General features: G+C 36.5%; 1 protein-coding gene across 1 annotated transcript, besides 1 other annotated feature; it reads right to left on the bottom strand.

The window, feature by feature from the left end:
• Positions 1-1,279: 1,279 nt before the first annotated feature.
• Positions 1,280-22,371, bottom strand: STRAP (serine/threonine kinase receptor associated protein). The gene is made up of 10 exons (NM_007178.4): positions 21,939-22,371; positions 21,082-21,217; positions 14,749-14,830; positions 14,089-14,161; positions 10,615-10,711; positions 9,262-9,399; positions 6,740-6,876; positions 4,705-4,854; positions 3,746-3,811; positions 1,280-1,841 (listed from the first exon to the last, which is right to left on the bottom strand). The coding sequence occupies exons 1-10, from the start codon at positions 22,048-22,050 to the stop codon at positions 1,780-1,782; spliced, it is 1,053 nt and encodes a 350-aa protein (NP_009109.3). The 5' UTR covers positions 22,051-22,371; the 3' UTR covers positions 1,280-1,779.
• Positions 22,294-22,413: an enhancer, noted in NCBI's record as "active region_6072". NCBI's record gives its function as "activates an Ori minimal core promoter by ATAC-STARR-seq in GM12878 lymphoblastoid cells {active_cell/tissue: GM12878}" and the evidence as "EXISTENCE:reporter gene assay evidence [ECO:0000049][PMID:35858748]".

Genomic DNA, 22,453 nt, shown 5'->3' with positions numbered 1-22,453 from the left:
CAGGGAATGCAGCTGGCTTCTAGAAGCTAGAAAAGGCAAGGGAACAGATTGTCCTGTAGAGCCTCTAGAAGGCTTGCAGCTCTGCTGACACCTTAATTTAAGCCCAGCAAGACCTACTGTGGACTTCTGACCTCCCTAACCGTAAGATAATAAATTTGTGTTGTCTTAAGGTACACATTTGTGGTCACTTGTTACAGCAGCAGCAGGAAACCAATACACAAAGGACTGTACCTGTACAGGGTCATTAGACTTTTATGAAACCTAAGGAGAAATTCCCTTGGTTCATAAATAACAAGCAACTTCATGATTCCAATCTGATGCGTACAGAACTTTATTGAGGGTAAATCAGACTCTGATTAGAGTCTGAGCAACTGCTGGTACAATGACAACACTGCTGCAATCCAGAGGTTCAGGCATGTAACAAGCTGACACAAAAATACTACCACTCTATGAAAGCCAATATGGATCACCAGTTGGCTCCCCTGTATTTCTCTCGGCCCTCACAGGTTGTCACAGCCTACAGTGCTTTCTTCTGGTTATCACAAATCCTCAAAAATTAATCTTATTCTTTGGTTGACTCATATTGCTTTTAAGAAAAGTTATCAAGGGTCACTCACAGGACTGATCAGGAGAAAAAGGAAGTTGCAGAGATGTTATTTATTCATCTGAAGTATTTCCAAATTACTCATTTAATATGCCCTCTTTGTTTTAAAAAATAAATTACAAGTCTAAACTCAGCTGATCCAATTTATTAGAAGGTTTTAGAAGGGCTTTCTGAATGCCACCCAAATTTAAAGAATGAGGTAAAATTCCATACTTCTTAAACCACTGCAGGACTATAGTAATCCCATTTTTATAAAATCCATTCTATCTATCTGTATATACATACAGAGATGCCCTAACATGCATTCATGGTCATTTGATTTTAATAGTTTTTTGAGGAGTGGTAGGATTTTAAGTGATCTTTCAGCTTACTGCTAAATTTCAGTTGATTTTTTTTTTCTTATAACTAGCATGTATTATTTAAATAATTGTTTAAAAAGGCATGTCAAGCACTTCTATCCAATCTGGGAATAGAGAAGGTAAATGAAACACTAGTAAAGGACATAAGAATTTCAAAAATTCAGGACAAGTAACTGAATCTCAATATTATAAAATAATGTTTACTACAGATTAATTGGCTTACCTTTTGCTATGGTTATGATACAGAAAAACCTTCTGGCTATTTCCACTTATAAAACTCACATTAGTAGTTTTTCCCCAAAAAAACCAAACATTGTTTTGTTTTAGAGGCATTTTATTTAGACAACTAAAAACAATTAGATGTTCAGAGGCAGTGTACAATGAACGAGAAATCAAACCAGTTACTTTATCATGTATTCCCTCTTCTTTACAACTGAAGCAAAAAAAGAAAAGGCATTCTGCTTTAAGATCAGAAAAAATCAGCCAATATAGTTTTCTTCTCCATATTAACATAAACAGCTACAAGAACCCTAATTGTAATAATAGAAATTGGATGTTGGCTTGTATATATTCATTAAAAAGATAACAGGCCACTGTACTATAAGAGGATAACTCCACCTCCCTTCATCTGACACTTGAGTTTTCACTTACAGGTAACACCAAGTTAGTTAGTTGTTCCAGCACTGGAGCTAATTCATTTTCCTCATTATTTACTGCTGTTTCTGCCTTAAGCAGACAGTAACTCTGGAAGGCTGATGCTTTTCTCTGCTTGCTTGTTTTAGTCAGTTGTATACTAACTGCACATATGATTGACGCTCAGGCCTTAACATCAGGAGCTGAAGGAAAGATGCAATCTGAATTCTCTGAAGCAATTTCTTCTATAAGTAAAAAAAAAAAAAAAAAAAAAAAGTCACATTAGTCAACTTAATGAAAGAAAGAAGCAAATCTACATTTCTGTGTAATGAAGGAATGAAAAAGTGTTTGTAAAGCATACTGTGGTAAGGGAAAGAAGAGAGCAACTGCACATGCCACTAACAACTAGACTCATGTCATTGAAAAGGCAAAGAAGAAAGAGTTCATGTGTTTTATCCACTAGATTCTCTTACACCATAACTCAACCTCCAAGGGTCCCTTTCTGGCCTAAATTTTCAAAGACTCCAGCTATATAACAAACCCGGAATTAAAGTCATGTCTTCGAAGGATCTGGCCCTCTCTTTTAGTGATTCAAATCCTAATATTTAGTGCTATTTAAAGCAAAACATTAACCATCAACATTGTTTTAGCAAGAAGGTGCTTAACAATAAAAAATTTAAGGAAAACTCTATTGGGTAAATGGTAAACACCTTCCCAACCTCCCCCAAAATCATCATACCCAGTTTCTCATGGCAGCAATCTGCATATTTCTTCCTCATGATACCCCCACTCATCAATCTCACAATTCTAACAAGTCTAACAAAAGACTCTCAACTCCATCTACCTTTTTCTGTTCTCATTGCAATACCCTTATTAAAAACTACATGATAGGCCGGGTGCAGTGGCTCACGCCTGTAATCCCAGCACTTTGGGAGGCCGAGGTGGGCAGATCATGAGGTCAGGAGTTCAAGACCAGCCTGATCAACATGGTGAAACCCCATCTCTACTAAAAATACAAAAATTAGCCAGGCGTGGTGGTGCACCTGTAATCCCAACTACCCAGGAGGCTTACGCAGGAGAATTGCTTGAAACCAGAGGCGGAGGCTGCAGTGAGTCGAGATCATGCCACTGCACTCCAGCCTGGGCAACAGAGCAAGACTCCATCTCAAAACAAAACAAAACCTACATGATCACTCATCTAGACTACAATGCCCCCTAACTGGTTTATGTTCACTCTTGTTCCCAGTCCAATTCTTTGTACGTGCAACAGCCAAGGCAACCTTTTTTTTTTTTTTTTTTTTGAGACAGAGTCTCTCTCTGACACCCAAGCTGGAGTGCAGTGGCGCAATCTCGGCTCGCTGCAACCTCTACCTCCTGGGTTCAAGCTACTCTCCTGCTTCAGCCTCCTAAATAGCTGGGATTACAGGTATCTGCCACCATGACCGGCTAATTTTTGTATTTTTAGTAGAGACAGGGTTTCACCATGTTGGCCAGGTTGGTCTTGAACTACCAAGGCAATCTTTTAAAGTCCTCTTCTTAAAATTCAAAGGTTTCTCATTGCTCTTAGTATAAAACTCTCCAAGTCCTAATACAGCAAATGAGGCCCTCAGATGATCTAGCTTCTCCAGCTTCACTTTGCCTTTGCTCTTTAACCTGGAGGCATGGAGAAGTTCTTTTAGTTCCTCATATGCTATGCTCCTTTTTGGTTCTGAACTTTTAGTTAACATAGTTTTCCTGCTATGAACTTTTCCATCCTGTCCCTACCAACACCCCCTCTCATGACCTCACCTAAATCATTTCTGCTCATCCTTAGTTCCCAGTTTAAATGTCACTTCTCTAGGAAGCTTTTTTTAATCCCCCTTACAATAATTTGTGTTTTGGCATGTCTCCTAAGTTAGACTCTAGCTCTGAAAGAGTAACCACATCGGTTGTGTCCATACTACATCTCTGTGCCTATTACTACTATGCAGTAGGTATTTAAATATTTAGCTTATAAATATGTATATATACATGCATAAATATTTAAAGTTTCCATTATTTAAATATGTTCATATTTAATAAATTTCTTCTGCCAATGAGTAAAACTTCTGTTACAGTTCAATTTTAAATCCCCCAAGACTCTTACAAAAGTCAATTCCATAGCATTTACCTAGCTCCTCTTCTGTTGTCTCTGGAAAACCAATCTTTGGCTTTGCCAGCTCACCACTATCTTCTTCTGTAAAAAGAAAAGCAATGACGATTATATGACTTACACTATTAAAGTAATTTCCAGTGTTCAATAAGCAAGAAGAGCAACATAAGACTATTCCAGGAAAATGGCTACAAAATATAATAAAAACAACTCCTTTTTAAATAACTGTGATTCTAAAAATAGTATGTCTTTCTTTAAAATTACTTTTAGGTTCATACTGCAACTACTTAGGGATTAGTAACTAGGTATTTTTTATTAAGAACATGTCTATCTTTATTGGTGTGGATCAGTGAGTAATACTATTCAGAGATTAGATACATTTACTTGTAAATTCTTTATATTGCCTTCCAGCAAATTTTGAATTAGATCTATTCCAGCCACAAAATGTGCTAGTATAAAAATTTAGGAACAGACTAGATTGTACAACAAATTTTTCTTTTTTTTTTTTTTGAGACTGAGTCACTCTTGCCCAGGCTGGAGTGCAGTGGCGTGATCTCAGCTCAATGCATGGCTCCTGGGTTCATGCAATTCTCGTGCCTCAGCCTCCTGAGTAGCTGGGATTACAGGCATGTACCACCACACCTGGCTAATTTTTGTATTTTTAGTAGAGATGGGGTTTCACCATGTTGGCCAGGCTGGTCTCGAACTCCTGACCCTGTGATCCGCCCGCCTCAGCCTCCCAAAGTGCTGGGATTACAGGCGTGAGCCACCGTGCCCAGCCATACCAAAAAAAATTTAAACAAAGGAACATGACCCTTTCTCTGGCCAATTTATAATCCTGGGCTTCTCGCTGCTTAAACCATAATATATAATTTAAAATTTATAGAAAACAGGAACCCTGAAATAAAATTAATGATTAAAAATGACATAAAATCATGCATTTTAAAAATTTTATTATTCTGAATAAAAATTCTTACCAGGAAGCACACATTTCCAAAGGCCATACGTTTTTCCTACCACAGTTTGCCATAGTCTCAATGTTCCATCTTCTGAACCACTGGCATAGAGTTCTCCATCAGGACTAAATCTCACACAGTGAATAGGACCAAAGTGTCCCTTGTAGGATTCTGAAAAAGAAGAGGGCTATTAGATAATTTTAACTATTAGGTTAAATATTGATATGCTAAAAAAAAAAAATACTGTCTGTGTTACTGGGGAGATGGAAAATTCTTAAGGCAAACATTAAAACCTGTACTTAATTAATTTCTCATCACAAAAGTGGTATATCATTGACCCTTTCTCTGTAAGATTATTCCTTTCCAAATCTAGCACACATTCTAGTTTCAAACTGTCCCTCTAAAAAAAGCAAATGAGGCTTCATGTCTCATTAAGGATGGAGAAAAAGAGGTAAATGAAAACCCCATTAATTCTATAGAAAGTAGATTTAAAGTCTTACCAGTTCAACCTCCAATTTCCATATCCTAAAACTCACTGCCTATTTCTCAGGGAATCAATTTTTATTATGACTATAGAGAGCCACCAGGTGGAGCTCTTTTACACACTTTGCCTCTTAATTTCCTACAGTCCACTAATTATTCTGTCACACAGAAAGGTGAGATATAGATCAACAATGATCCATAAATATTTTAATCCATGGAACCTAATGAGAAAATGTATAGATTAGGAGCACTGTTATATTCAAGTAGTACCTTTAAGTATGAACCTTTCTCATTTACTTTCTAATGCCTCATCACCTTATTAGTTCTCAAAGCCCTTTACTAGACCAATGTTCCTATTCTGTCTCCCATCTGTGTCCCACCAGAGAATAGAAAAGTTGTAAGAGTACAAAGAACACAAGGTTTTGGAAAGAGAAAGGCTAGGCAGATCTGGTATTCACTGTGACTTCAGATCTTGGGCAAATAATTCAGTTCTCTCAATCTTGAAAAAGAATAAAATATGAAACCAAAAACATTCTAAAACTTTGAAAACTAGCATTAAATAAAAGTAACAGAAAAGAATATCTTATTTATAAATCACTTGTATTCAAGTAATAAAAACTGAACCATAAGCAATTAAAATAGATTCTACATGGTCCATCACCAAGGTTCCATTTGTGCAACCCAGATGCATCAATGTTCCCCAAGAAACAAAACGTAAAATTGTCTTTTGTTCTTTGGGTGTAATCTAGCAAGCTTCGTTCTTTGGTAAAGCAGGGCAGCTAGAAACAGACAAGAACAAGAAGAGACAGCTTATAGATAAAAATATATATTTATAAAAACTAAACATATTTTTGACCTAAAAGCAAAAACTATTTGGAAAGGCTAAAAGTAGATACTGAGAACCACATGTAACTATGTGAAATACCTGGTCCATCAGATAAATATACATTAACTTCAAATTAATCCCCATGCCTTTCCCTTTCCCTTACTAAGGACTGTTATCATGAAAATGAAAGCAAAACTCAAACTCCAAAACAGAATAAATAAAAAGCTGATAAAAATAACTATCCAATTCAGATTCCTAAAGGTATCCCTGTAATATGCTATACTGATTTTTCCCCCACACACTGTTCTTTACGGAGTCTTAGGAATTCCTAAGTTGGCAAAAAGGAAGACGGGCCAAGTAGATGGGGTTATACACCCACAACATAGTTCAGAAAGAACGGATCTCCTTGCATGTGTTTAGCATATGACTTTGACATAAGATTCCCCCCTCCCTCCCAGCCAATAAAGCCTAAAACTCACTGTACCATAATACATAACATCAGCATAATGATGAACTTTAGTTAAAAGGATAAATTTCTGCATACTTTGTTTACAGATCTATAAAAGCATCTGACCCAAATGGTTAAAACTCCTTTACTTTTTCACTTGTAAGCACCAAGCTTAAGTTAGCTGAAAAATTTACTTTCAACATATATATGTAACATATATATATATATAAATGAGGTGTTAATTACTGGGACTTAACATATGATAAAGGTAACCACATCACTGTAAGGGGACAACTCACCTAATTCTTCTCCACTATTATAATCATACTTATAAAGTTTAAAATCTTCACCGCCTGCAACAAGAAATTCTTTCTCAGGATGAAGAGATGCAGAATTGATGGTTGCAGGAGCTTCAAAGGATTTAATTGGGTCCAAACTGAAAAAAAATTTAAGTAGTATTTACAAATCTTGAATATGGTATAAATAACGAGTTACATTTGAACTGTTCTTAAATTCTGAAACCCAAGGAACAATTAAATACTCATTTACTCAAACATAAACACTGATGTAAAAAAAGCTGTTAGCAAAAAAAAAAAAAAAAAAATCAAATGGATACTATGCCCAAGTGGAGCTCATCTCAGCAATACAAAGACATCTTGATGGAGGGATATCCAGTTTATGCAGTGGATGTCTTCCCGGAAATGAGTGTGTTGGCTAATTAAAACAGTATGAATAATACACTGGGATTTTTGCTCTTAAATAAACTTCACCTGTATTGTTTCATTTTTCTACAACCACATATTATCTTTGTAAACAGAAAAAGTTTTCACAGTAGGTAATTAACATAAAGGATTATTTATATATTATTATTAATTGCTGAAGGTTTAAGCTCCTCAGCAAGATAAACTTTCTATGTCATAAAATATAAACTGCTGAAAACAGTTTCTACTATAAGGCAGTAAAAGACTAACAAAATTTGGGGCTATAGTTATATAATAAAAATCAATGCATAATAACAGCTTCATCTGAAATTCAATTACAGTTTGGACATTAGCTTTTTCAGTTTAACCCTAAAAATCATGAAAGGCCTCCAATACAAAACATTATAGTATCCCAGCTCCTAAATACTTCCCATCATCATATACTTTAAAGCATGTTAATTAAAGTTAGTCATGACTTATGCAGGATCACTACATAGCAACTTGCTGGCTCAAATGCTAGAATATTCAATGGTCCAGAAAATTTCTGCCACCAACATGGGATTTGCCTAACTGCAGGAGTGAGTGAAGAGCATTAATAAACCAATTGATGGCTCCAGGCCATAGTATTCTACTACTATCAGTTTACTGTATGTGTATAAACTCCTTGACATTGCTTAATTGCTCTCCTCCAATTTTACCGCCTTTTCTTTCTCCCAGTTAGCCCTTTAGACACAAGGTTAAGACACTGGTCAAATATCAAAGTGTAATGTGGTATAATCCTTATGGAAATCAATTAAGTGTCATGTATAACTAAGAACTTTAAACTCATTTCTAGCCTTTGAACTGATAATTCTACTTACAGGATCCTATCTACTGTAAAGAAACACTCAGAGATGTGCTAGAACATTCACCGTGGTGCTAAAACAGGGAAACTAACCCATAATTTAGTACAACCTATGATGCAAATACAGTGTATCAAGTAAAAATGTTTTCAAAGAAGTTTTAAATGGCTAACAATATTTTTAAACAAATCAAAATGGTATTCATTATGGTCCTAGTAATTAAAAAAAAAAACACAAATACTGTACACCCACATATATAACATAGAAAAATGGACTAGCAGAAAATATAACTACCATTATCACTCTTGCACCTATGGGTATAATATTGTGGGTACATTTTTTTCAATTATGTTATATATTCCAGTCTTTCTCCAAGAGTATTTACTACATTTAAAGTCGCAAAATTCAAATCTGTTTAAAAAATTCATTAAGTCTGCAAATACTCAGGAACAGAAATAAGATTATTCCTTCTCTAAAACTTTAAGGTGAAAATAAATAGTAGAATCAAGATCACACTGTTTTTTTGTTTTTTGTTTTTTTTGAGACAGAGTCTCACTCTGTTACCCAGGCTGGAATGCAGTGGTGTGACCACAGCTCAAAACAACCTCCACCTCCTGGGATTAAGCAATTCTCCTGCCTCAGCCTCCCAAGTAGCTGGGATTACAGGTACTCACCACCACACCCAGCTAATTTTTCTTCTCTTTGTATTTTTATTTTAGAGACGGGGTTTCACCATGTTGGCCAGGCTGGTCTCAATCCCCTAACCTCAAGTGGTCCGCCCACCTCAGCCTCCCAAGGTGCTAGGATTACAGACGTGAGCCACCACGCCCAGCCCACACTGGTTTTATATAGTAAAAAACATTAATGACAGCACCATTTCAGTAGTTTTTGCTTTTTTTTTTTTTTTTTTTTCAGAGGAGGTTTTGCTTTGTCATCCAGACTGGAGTGCAGTGTCAAGATCACAGCAAAATGCAGCCTCAACCTCCCAGGCTCCAGCAATAGAATACTCACCTCAGCCTCCCAAGCAGCTGGACTACAGGCGTGTGCCACCACACCCAGCTAATTTTATTTTTTGTAGAGATGGGGGTCTCACTGTGTTGCCCAGGCTGATCTCAAGCCATCCTCCCACCTCAGCTTCCCAAGGTACTGCGATTATAGGCATAAGCCACCACTCCTGGCCTCTTTACTTTTAAAAAAAGTAAATACCTTCCCATTTTTAAGTAGCCAAAATGTCTTTTGTTACCTAAAAAAGAAAATGAAAGTATTTCTTGGACATACCTTACTGCACTATGAAAAGCAATAGATCGTCCATAAGTTATAACCAAAATCTCTCCCTCAGGAATATATTCCATACTACTAACAGACATATTAAAATTTAGAGATTTCACTTCTGTCATAGTAGCATGATCCCAAAGTCTGCAAAATAAAGATAAAAATATGATGTTTACTCATGTAAGAAAAAAGTTTATAAATTCTAATTACATCTGCAGATTAGCCAACGAAAGAACAATCACAATTACAGAAAAACAACATTCATTCCAAGTCACAAATTACAGATGATTAAAAAAAATTCTGGGTTTCTATATACAATGTCAAATTATGCATGATAGCTTGTAAGTAAAATCAACTTTAATACCTACATACACTTCCCAATTTGGCAAAACTACATTATTAAGACAAGTTCTAATCTAGTCAATTTCAGCATTGCTATAAATAGTGGTTCTTACACTCTGTTTTTGTGAATCTAGTAATAGCTACACATCTTTCCAAAGAAATATACATCAGGTGTCAGCACACAAGATTTTGTATAGAATTTCAGAGGCTTCATGGTCCCTCCCTTTAACCATTCTGCCCACAGACCCAGGTTAAAAACACCTGCTTATAAGGTATCAGCAATTTAATTTTCTTCTGAATTTTGCTGTCTGTATACACAAGGTGAGCATCCCTTAATTGAAAATACTTGGGACCAGAAAAAAGTTGGATTTCAAACTTTTTCGGATTTTGGAATATTTGCATTAGACACTTACCAACTGAGAATTCCTAACCTGAAAATAGGAAATTCAAAATGCTCCAATGAGCATTTCCTTTAAGCATCAAGTCGGCACTCAAAGTCTCAGATTTCAGAGCGTTTCAAATTTCAGATTTTCAGGTTAGGGATACTCAACCTGTATTAGTAAATAGATAGCTCCAGATAAATGTGACCTGGGTGCAACTTAAATTTTAATGTTCAGAACATTTTTCACACATAATATTAAATGTATTTAAAATATAAGCTCTAAGGTAAAATATTTTGCAAATTTTAAGTTTGTTTTTCTTTTGAGACAGTCTAGCTCTGTCGCCCAGGCTAGAGTGCAATGGCACGATCTCGACTCACCGCAACCTCTGCCTCGCAGGTTCAAGTGATTCTCCTGCCTCGGCCTCCCGAGTAGCTGGGATTATAGGTGTGTGCCACCGCGCTTGGCTAAGTTTTGTAATTTTCATAGAGACAGTATTTCGCCATGTCGGCCAGGCTGGTCTAGTACTCCTGACCTCTAATGATCCACCCGGCTCGCCTCCCAAAGTGCTGAGATTATAGGCGTGAGCCACCATGCCCGGCCTTAAATTGTAAATTATTAAAGAAAAATTACTTACCGAACAGTTTTGTCATCAGCAGAAAGAATCTGTTTATCCTCACTGCACCACAGAGCTTTTTTTATACCAGAAGTATGACCACTAATTTCCTTAGGTTCTTGAGATAAAACAATTTAAAGTACATTTGTTAATATATGATTTTTTAAACTGAACAATATCGGAACAATTATATATTTTTAAAAACACACATTTTAAATTAGACTGCAACTTTTCAAAGCCCAGCCCAATTCAAACTTGATGTTTATATAGAATACAGTTAGTTTTTCTATATTGGAACATAAATTTATCTGCATGACAGGGACCCAAGGAACTACCATGCTTGCTATATGTAGCTGAGTGAATGCACCACTCACTCCCTCTAGGCTAAATTTCTGCACAACTGATAATATTCAAAAGCATTATTGTATAATAAATAAAAAGTATTTTATATTTATTATATGTATAATAAATATAAAAGCATTATTGTATAATTGTATAAGTATAATAAATATAAAAGCATTATTGTATAATATACAATATTTATTTGTACAATAATACAAATATTATTGTATAATATAAAAGCATTATTGTATAATTGTATAAGTATAATAAATATAAAAGCATTATTGTATAATAAATAAAAAGTATATATTTATTATATGTATAATAAAAAGAATTTTATATATAATAAAAAGTATATATTTATTATATGTATAATAAATAAAAAGTATTTTATATATAATAAAAAGTATTTATTATATTATTAATAAAATAATTAACGTGGCATAATTTAATAAGAACACGGACTCAGGAACAAAACAGTTGAATCTGATTGCAGTACTATGGCTAACTCTGGGACGTTTATCCAAGCAGCTATTGATAGTAAATAATGAGAAATAAGGGTTGGAAGGAAAAAAGGGAAATAGAAAGTGGGACAGCAATTCCCAAGAATGTTTCTACACTGTGAGGAAAACATAAAAAAAAAGGAAGGGAGCTTAAATCTGTAGGAGATTATCCTTTCGAAGAACTTCAAAAAACCCTCACTGCTGTCTCTAGGGGCAAAAGCAGACACTGGAGGCAATGCCATTCAACACTATTTTCACCTTTGGGCATGTTACTTAACTTTTTAACTTTATTTCCTCATCTGTAAAATGAGATAACAATGGTTACAAATGCGAATAGGGCTTAACAGATACCCGATACACAGTAAAACCTCATTTTATTTTCTGCTGCCAGCACAGCGAAAGAGCAACTTTCATAAAACAGCTTTGGGAAAGGTAAAGAGCATGAAAAATGTCAACCCAATCCCTGAACTACCTTGCTTTGACCCAATCCCTGAACTACCTTGCTTTGTTGAATGGGTTCATAGAAGAAGTGAGGTCAGAGTCCTTTGCTATGTTTTGGCATAGATTTATCAAAAAAGAAAGGAGAAAAAAACTTCTACATGCAATGGAGAATAAAAAAATCTGCAAATGCGCTTTGTTTCCTCACCTTAAAAATGTTTTCATAACAAATTACTGTAACATTAAAATGTAAAATATTTTAAAAAGTTCTCAGAAATGGAAGGTATCTCAAGAGAATAACCGCTTAATTTCCAATGTGGTTCTGACTCTCTTATTACTCTTTAAAATTTTATAGATTTATGACTACATAAATGTCCACATAATAAAATCTGAAAGATACCAAATATATAATAAAACAAAATTATGTTTGTCATGTTTTGGTAGCTAAGTATATATATGGTGAGGGAAATTATTAAAATATTATAAAATAAACATGTAGACTGGGGAAGACACCTATAACTTCTGTAAAATGAGAGAATGCATAAAGAATTTCACCACCAAAATGTTAAAAACATATATACCATAAAACCACCTTAACAAAATTTAAAAGCAAATGATAAATTAGAATTCAATAAAGAACCTTTAAAAACCAGTAAGAAAAACATGAATAACACAACAGATAAATGGACAAAAGGTAGACAGGCAATTATTCCATAAAAAAGGGAATATATTAAAATGGTATTCAATAGCATTTTAATCTCATGAATATTCACATTAATACAACAGAATTATTTTCTTAAATTGACAAAGAGAAAGTTAGTTATCAGTGCTCACTAGAACATGTTGGGTATAGATACATACATATATACCCATACTTTGTTGGAAGACACTTTGGTAGTATCTATCAATGGCTTCCAACAATTCATTTTTTTTTTTTCTTTTTGAGAAGGAGTTTTGCTCTTGTCCCCCAGGCTGGTATGCAATCTCGGCTCACTGCAACCTCTACCTCCCGGGTTCAAGCGATTCTCCTGCCTCACCCTCCTGAGTACCTGGGAATTACAGGCGCCTGCCACCATGCCCAGCTAATTTTTTTGTACTTTTAGTAGAGATGGGGTTTCACCATGTTGGCCAGGCTGGTATTGAACTCCTGACCTCAGGTGATCCACTCACCTTGGCCTCCCAAAGCACTGGGATTACAGGCGTGAGCCACTGCGCCCGGCCACCTTCCAACAATTCCACTCCTCTTTGTCCCACCAATTCTACTTTTGCTTAGTTATCTTAAGGAAATCATTGTGAAAATATTTGCAACTGTAAGGATGTTTAGCATAATACTGCTTTTCATATTTAAAATCTGTAAGTAGCCCAAACGGGCCAAAACAGGAAACTAGTTAATTCACTTATGATATAACCACAGGATGGAAAACCAGAAAGTCATTACAAACAGTTCATAGACTATTTAGTGAAATGAAAAAACTGTAACTGCAGATTTTTTAAAATTCTTTCGAATAGCTAATATATTTACATGGTTCAAAAATCTAAGCAATATGTGCACACAACTGAGAATTCTCACCATCACCAACTTCTATAAATAACCAATCTTTCTTACCAAAAAATAGTAACACTGTTCTGCACTGTTTTAAAACTTAATGATAAAAATTTGCCATAATAAATTTTCAGTTTGGAAGAAGGTTATACAATAGCAACATAGCAAATAAACTTATTTTTTAAAAACTGTGCAGAAAAAAAGACTGAAAGTTTATAAACCAAAAACTGATGAATTACGTTTTAATTTTCTTCTTTGTTGACTATTTTTTTTTTTTTGAAACTGAGTTTCACTCTTATTGCCCAGGCTGGAGTGCAGTGGCGCAATCTCGGCTCACTGCAACCTCCACCTCCCGGGTTCAAGCGATTCTCCTGCCTCAGCCTCCCAAGTAGCTGGGATTACAAGCGCCTGCCACCATGCCTGGCTAATTTTTCTATTTTTAATAGAGACGGGGTTTTGCCATGTTGGCCAGGCTGGTCTCGAACTCCTGACCTCAAGTGATCCACCCGCCTCAGTCTCCCAAAGTGCTAGGATTACAGGTATGAGCCACCGTGCCCGGCCATGACTATCTTTATTTTCCAAATTTGAGTACTGAGCATGAAATTCTTTAATCAGTTATTTAAATTAAAAGAAAATAAAACTAGAAGCTGATGTTTAAATTATGCTTACCTGCTTCAGGTTTGTTCAAGTCATATATGCGTAACAGTTTATCCTGTCCCCCGGTTAACAAATAATTACTATCCTGAAAACACAAAGTAAAATGTGAATAGATTAACCATTTTAATAGTTATTTCTCTTTCAAATTTCAACACCAAATAAAATCAAAATCTAGCTCACAGACATCACAAAGAGATGCCAAGACATAACCAATTACTTCTGAGAAGATACTGTGGAACAGCTGACCTCTCATAACTGCCAAGACTTGTAAGCTTTCCACTTCAAAAGCGTTACACTACACTACATATACATGAACTCTCCCATTCTCCCCTGATCCTACTCCTCTCCCTTGTGAGAGGCCCTTTTCTGATTATCTCAAATTTATCTTCTCCCTTCTATTAGTAGTTGGGGAAGGCTACTTGAGCTTTTCAGATGTTTTTTACATGTTGAAGGACTGGTACTCGTTCCACAGTATCTTAAAAGCTTGACAGGATTAACTATGAAACAAATTCATAGAGCTTAATACACAATCAAATCAAATATGAACCAAGAAATAACAAATATTCCACACAAAACATATCAATCAAATATACACACCAATCAAGTATAAAAGCATTATCACACTATGTACCAGCAACTTAACTCGCTAAAATAAATTCCATTTTCTGATACCTGCGTGAAATCCACAGTCTTGACAATGTGTTTATGAGCCAGGGTCATCAATTCATCTCCTGAGACAGCATCCCACACTTTGCTAAAAGTAAAAAAGAGAAAATTAGTAGGATAAATATTACCCAATATATTAAAAGGATAAATACAATTATAATATTGATGAGTACCAAATAAGTTAGATATGTGAAATGTTACATAAATGTATTATAAATCTCCTTTATCTCTAATATCCCTCACAGACTTCATTTGATAAAATATTTAAATAAGCTTAAGGGAAAAGAAATTTCTCTGTAAAAACTTTATAACCAATCTAATTTTCTTTGACAGTGGAAAAGATATGAACAATTTAAGCAAGTAAGATTCATGAACCAACCCATCCTCCTTACTTTTATTTTAGCTGACAGCCATAATATCCCTTTAGCAAGCCTGTCATACATTTTAACCAATTTTTAGTTTCACCATGCCAATTTTTTCTCTATTCTCCACTCAGATGCACAATAAAAAATAAAAATAAATAAAAAAACCAGAAATCCTTAAAAATGTTACAAGGGAATGAAAAGCCTTGGTACAGGCTAAGTAAAATTTTAAATTAAGATAGTGGAGAGACAATGTCCACTTCATCTCTTCTTCAAAGCTGACTTAAAATTTCAAACTCTAGTACAGTTAACTTCCCCCAAACTATCAGCCTTTGATTATATAATGCTAACACTGACTATTTTAATCTTTACATTGTTTTTTCTGTCCCACCCCACCCCAAAATACAAGTTGGTTATAGGTATACATACATTTATATGTGTATGTATATTCTGGGCGGGTAATAGTTGAGCAATACTTTACAAAATTACTCTAAAAGGGTTCCCCCAAATAAAAAAGCTTAAGGAAGGGGGAAAAAAAAGTTGATTTTAGATCAGAACAGGTCAGTGAAAAATAAACAAGAAAACTTTGCAGACAGGGAAAAGAATTGCTAAGAGTGAAAAAGCTATGTTCCATAGAGATTTCCATTTTAATGCAACTGCTATTTATTTTCAGGAACACAGTGGGCAATAAAATGGTAGAGGGAAAAAAATCAGAGAAAAGCAAGATGTATCTTTTCTTTTGCTTACCCCAATACATAATAAAATATATTAAATATATATCATTCTATACTTAGTGCTAAGGCACAAATGGGAGACAAAAAATACCCCACAGTAGGTTCTTGCCATAGTAGAGCTTTAGCTGAGGAGAAAAACATGCATTAAATATCACATTTAAGAAATATAATTAAAAGACATATATATGGCTATAAAAACTCAGAAAAAAGCACCTAGATATTGTCCAGAAAATGTAAGTAACAGAGCTAGCCGTCGGAAGAAGCAAAGAGAAATATATCAGGGGAAAAAGAAGGGAAGGCTATTCTAGATAAGCATTAATAGCATGTGCAATGTGGTTAATGAATATGAAAGACCATCTAACAGGAATGCTCATGATACACTACCAAAGCTTGCAATATTTAATAATGTGGGTCATGTGAGTGGCTGAATAAATATGTTCTGAAAGAAATAATGTCAACTATAAGTAGCCTTGCTGCTAAACTCCCTAGTATTCATTTCTCTTTGCCCAGGAAACTTGCTCCTCTCTCTGTCATTCCAATGCAACTCTCTGGCCCCAATCTACTTTCCCAACCTCATTTTGTATTGTTTCTCTGAATCTAGCAACACTAGATTATAAACCACTCCTCAAATAACTTACGTATTTTCTTCCAGGCTCCTATGTTCTTGTTTATATTATTCTCTTAAGTCTGTATTTTACATTCTTAGCTATTAAAGTTCTACTCACCCTTAGGGCTCATTTCAAATGCTATCTTTTCTTTGAAACTATTTATCCTCAACTCCAATAATTAACCATTCCTTTCTGTTCTCCCACAGAACTCCACTTATTACGGTGCTTAAATTTGCTTTGTTTTTTGTTTACATATATCCTTAATCACAGTGAAATGCATTTCATGGTTGTGGTAAGGGTTCACAAGTATTAGAATGACAGAAAGCATCAAAAGTGAAGAAAACAACAAATGTATCTAAAATTACTATTCTAATTATTCACAAGTCTCCAAAGAAACCCGGGCAATGTCCTTTGATATGCTAATTTCAAGTTTATTAAATAATCTCCCATAAACTTAAAACCTCTCTCTCTTTTTTTTTTTGAGACAGGATCTTGGTATATTGCCCAAGCTATACTTGAACTCCTGGCCTCAAGATCCTTCCACCTCAGCCTCCTAAGTAGCTACAGGCTAACGCCAACATGGCAGCTCTAAAATCTTAAGATTCTGCTTAGACTGTGTCTATTCAAAGGTGAGAAGAGAGTTGGAGTGACCAAAGTAGTAATATTAACCAGAGAGGTAATGTGTCTGTAGTTTTTCCTCCTATTTAGAAACAGTACTAAAATAGAGGCATGACATTTTCTGACAGGGCATGTACTAACTCTGGCAGATTTCCATTATTCACAGTAAGAGCCCTAAAATGGATCTAATCTAAATGTTTCCTAATGTATTATTCAATCTCCAGGCAAGAAATTGACATATATTAGTTGGCCACAGGGCTCAAATCAAGACAGTAAAGCGCTATTAACAATACCCTTTCAGCAGCTAACCCTCCAACATTTTCTTCACATCCCACGAAGTACTTGTCATCTCCTTAAACTACTGTTACCTCTTATACCCCAGTTTCTTGCAAATAATAATGCTGCCTGATACTTTCCATATCCTCAGAATGAACTTACCGTAAGTCTCATAATAGGAGCTGCTTAACTTACTTATTTAAACCTTCAACAAAACAGGCCAGTTTAAGATTTTTAAAAAATTGCCCAAATACCTTAACATGTTGACCAAGTCATCTAGGAGATAATACCATTTTCGATTTATCAAGAACCTTATTAAAACTAAAATTAGATATTTCTATTGGCTTTACAAGAAAGAAAGAGTGATACATTGTGATTACCTATAAATTCCTGGACCCAATCCCAGATCTACTTAAGCCCTCTTGGGAGCACAGCACAGAATTGTCTTTACTTTGGCACTCTTCCCAAATAGATACAAAGAGATGGTGTTTTAGGGACACTGTACTCAACACTGGACTCAATTGCCCGAATTACTCCAAGATAACATTCTACACTAGTCCACAGACCTATTCTGCTAAATTTCTCCACAAGAAACGGGACCAAATTCCACTTCTAAATGACCACACCATAAATGAGTTTTCCAAGAAACGTAAGAATGGAGGGAAAAAAAAATTGTTTCTAAAAATGCTTTATACCAACCATGACTAATCAGGTAGGCTGTGGGGAGTAACTTCTTGGAGAGAATACACACACACACAAACACGCACATGAAAACACGCTCCTACACCCCACAGACAAGACATAGAGGAAATGAGGGATAAATCTCAACTAGCATTTATTGAGCACCTACTATGTGACAGAGATCATATTGGACTTCAGGGATATATGGTGGAGAAAGATCTCTCTGTTCCTCCAATAATCTCATGGGTCTTAGTCCCATTTTACAGATATGAAAGCCGACATTTAAGAAACATCCTGCCATGGTGGGCAGATCGCTTGAGCCCAAGAGTTCAAGACCAACCTGGACAACATGGTGAAGCCCATCTCTACAAAAAACACAAAGATTAGCCAAGCATGGTAGTACACGCCTGTGGTCACTATTCAGGAGGCTGAGGTTGGAGAACTGCTTGAGACTGGGAGATAGAGGCTGCAGTGAGCTATGATCACGCCACTGCACTCTAGCCTAGGCACCTAAGACCCTGTTTCAAAAAAAAAAAAAAATCCTATGATGATCAAACTGGAAATACACAGCATAGTTAGCACACGAATGCAAGCCCACCTAGTGCCAATGCTTGTTATTATTTTCCACTCTAACACAGCACCTAAAGCCTTAACTGAGGAGGGGGAAAAAAAAATCACAAAAATCTTCCTTCTTGACATTTAAATCTATTCAATCTTCCTTATATGAGGCCAAATAGTTTGAAGGCTTTAGCCATATTAGTTTCAAAATAATATGTGATTTTGATCAAGTGCGGGTGGTGATAGTTTACATGGTAGCTATCATCGTTACTTTACATATGTAACACTTTCATAGGTGTAATAGACTTCAGGCAATGTTGTAAGTATTCGAAACATATTAACTTATTTAATATTCAAAACCAACCTATGAATTAGGTACCATGACAGAAAAAAAAATGGTTAAATAAAGTGCATGAGGCCACCAATTCAAATTCAGGTCATCTGGCTCCAGCCTTCATGCTCTTAATACACCACTTGTAAACACAGACATTGAGACTTGAAATGTTAAGAAAGCATAAAAACAACACTGTTTCAATAAACAAGAGCATACAGTCACGTATCTGCCACCACAGTCAATCAGCCTTCATTTTTTCATTCTAAAATTGGTATGTTTAATGTACTTAAAATGAAGGAGGCAGCAGATTTACAATTGCTCCTTAGTGTGAGGTTGTTAAAAAAAAAAAAAAAAAAGGCCAGGCACGGTGGCTCACACCTGTAATCCCAGCACTTTGGGAGGCCAAGGCGGGCAGATCACTTGAGGTCAGGAGTTCGAGACCGGCCTGGCCAACATGGCGAAACCCCGTCTCTACTAAATATACAAAAATTAGCCAGGCGTGGTGGCGTGCACCTGTAGTCCCAGCCTCTCAGGAAGCTGAGGTGGGAGAATCACTTGAACCCGGGAGGTGGAGGTTGCAGTGAGCCGAGACTGTGCCACCGCACTCCAGCCTTGGGGACATAGCAAGACTCTGTCTTTAAAAAAAAAAAAAAAAAAAAAAAAACACCACTTGTACTCTCTAGCCTCTTAAGTCTAATAAATCTGTGTATGCACAACAGTTCTTGATATTGCCTTCATCAGTTTAAACAATGAAGTGTCAAATTCCTAAGTTACAAATACCAAGTAGGAACTGGAGATAACAAGATTTATAAAATATGATACATTCCCAAAAAGGCAACGAGGGCCACTGCAAGTCAGTTTAATAACATAATTAACCGCCAAAAGTCAGAACAGGTAAGGTATATTCTGGCAACAATAAGATTAGTATAATTAGATTGTAGGTTTATGGTGTGCAATGGCAGAGGATGATGCTGATGAACTAGGATGAAGCAAACTGTAAAGGGCCAACAATTGAAATGTGTCCTTTAGGTCAGCAATTCTATGACTGCACATCAGGAAAGAAAAGGAAGAAAGAAAAATAAAAAAACACCAATAATCAGTATGACCAGTACTCCATCCCCAGACCAATCAAACCAGAATTTCTGTACCAGGCACAGTAGTTCACCCCCGTAACCCCAGCTCTTTGAGAGGCTGAGGCATGGAGGCCAAGAGTTTAAGACAGCCTGGACAACATAGCTAGATACTGTCTGTATAGTAAAAAGTATTAAAAAATATTTTTAAATGTAGTAAAAAGTATAAAATATAAATATATAGTAAAAAAGTAAAAAAAAAAAAAAGTTTTAAAAATCCGAATTTCTGGGACTCATACCATTTGAATATTTGAAAAGCTCTCCAGATATTCTAATGTACATCAAAGGTCATGAACTACTAAAATGGCAAAGGGAAGACAGGAAGATCATTAGTAGAGAAGTGACATGATCAAGTATGTTTTTAGGAAGACAACTGGCAACAATATGGAAAATGAATAGGAGGAAAAGAAACTACTGAAAGTTAAAAATGATCCTGAACTAAGGCAGCCACAGTTACTACATGAAGGAACATTGGAGTCAGGAGACATCCCGCTGGCAGAATCAAAAAAGATGATGATAATCTAGATATAAGGGAAAATCAAGAATGCTTTAGATTTCAACCTTTAAAAACTTAGGAAATGACGAGCAGCTGAGTTTTGTTTTTTTGTTGTTTTTTTGTTTGTTTGTTTTTGACACAATGAGTTTTAATGATGCCTAAAGCCAGTTAACAAAAACCGGGATTGAAATAAAAACCTAGGGCCATCAATGTAGGATATCACTAAGGAGTACACACAGAGCAGCATTCGTAAAGGAGATCAACATTCATTATCTGGTGCGTTTGTTAATGCAGATTCCTGAGTCTCAATCAAAATATACGGAATAAGTCATTTAGGCCTCTGAAAATTTTGAGAACCACTGAAGACAAAGAAGCACACAGGACCACGATGGACCACGATGGAATTTTGGTGGGATCAAACATGCGTTCTGTATGGCAGCCAGTGAGTCAGAATTTTATGAATATCTGACACTGAAGTTTTTGATTATTTCAGGACACAAGCTACAGAGAACACCAAAGTTAGCCATCTTGGCTACACTTACGCTGTGAAATCTGCAGCTGCTGTAGCTGCTTTGGTGGCATCCTTATTCAGTGTTGCACCCCAAACAGCACCTTTATGACCCAAAAATGTTCCAATCCAGTCTCCTGTATCTCCCTGGCGTAGCATAGGTTTACCATCTAGAAAATATTTTTTAAAACATGTAATTTATAAGTTCAGATTACTTAAAGTCTAAGATTCAAATGTAAATATACAATGATGTTCAATGACAAAGTGGAAAAATTGTTTCAGCTATTTAACTACCACCACCCACTGAAGGCACTAAGGAATGTGCAGTAATAAATTAACTGAAGAGCTGAACAGATCATTCTCTCTGAAAAGCATCTGTAATTGGCTGGGAATACTGATCTGCGTCAAAACAATCTAGATTTTAGTCTTATTTTGGACAGACATCTTAGCCTGAATCTCAGTTTCCCATTTGAAAAATGAGGCTAATACCACAAAGGAATATCCAGTGAGACAAGAGCGAACGTCTTTGTAAGGTATTGCACGGCCTGGCCTAATTTCTCCTTTCCCCAAATCCTTGAAAGCTATTTACCGTGTTGTCCCGAGAGTCTAGGCAAATGCTGACCAGCTCCTTCAAAAATAGCAATAAAAATAAAATAAGGAGAGAGGTCTTAGTTGGAGGTAATAGTTTCTACAAAAGCGTCCTCTCGGCTCCAGCTGCGGATTCCCTAACACACTCCTTTCTCCACCGGACCAGTGTTGGCTCTCATCTCAGATGTTAATATCGCCCCCTCCCCCCTCACCACACCACCGCTTCGGCACTGGAGCGTGCGGGTCCCGATCCCTTTCAGCCCAGTCCCAGCCGTCGAGGACCAGGATTGCGGCCTTGCTCACCTTTGCAAGCGCTGATTAAGAAATACCCATAAGGCGTGATGCCACTGAAGGCCAAATCAACCACGGGTCGCGTGTGGCCAGAGCAGGTGAGCGGCGTCTGTCTCATTGCCATGGCGGCGGCGAAGCCAGCGACCGGACTGGCGAGCTGAGGGTCGTCGTTGTCTTTTCTCTCTTCTGCTGCAGTGCCTCGGGCTGCTCCAGGCCCCCGCCCTGACACTAGGGCTGGGCTGGGCAACAGGAAAAGAAGGGCAATCCGGTGGCACCGAGGTTAGGGAGGGGTGAGGGAGGGGTCAGGGAGTCTGCGACCAGCAAGCAACAGTCGACGAGGGAGGGAAAGGGAGGGAGGGAGGAAAGTAGGGGATGGGGAGAAGCGGAGAACCGGGCCAGCCACGATTCACAGCGTCCACACCGGCATCGGCAGGAAGTGACGACGTAAATGACGCAGAGCACCCGCCGGAAATGACGATTGGCGGGAGGGCGGGCTCGCCGGGTAGAAGTGACTTGAAGAAAGAGCG

The sequence above is a fragment of the Homo sapiens genome, chromosome 12 (genome assembly GCF_000001405.40).
Source record: "Homo sapiens chromosome 12, GRCh38.p14 Primary Assembly".
In the NCBI taxonomy this organism is placed as follows: Eukaryota; Metazoa; Chordata; class Mammalia; order Primates; family Hominidae; genus Homo; species Homo sapiens.
This window is presented reverse-complemented; position numbering and strand designations above follow the sequence as displayed.

Coding starts and splice junctions, on each gene's coding strand:
- STRAP (NM_007178.4), bottom strand. CDS start 22,050: ATGGCAATGAGACAGACGCCGCTCACCTGCTCTGGCCACACGCGACCC. Junction 14,162..14,748: donor AGACTGTGGATTTCACGCAG/GTATCAGAAAAT, acceptor TTGTGTTTTCAG/GATAGTAATTATTTGTTAAC. Junction 1,842..3,745: donor GACAACAGAAGAGGAGCTAG/GTAAATGCTATG, acceptor TTTTACTTATAG/AAGAAATTGCTTCAGAGAAT.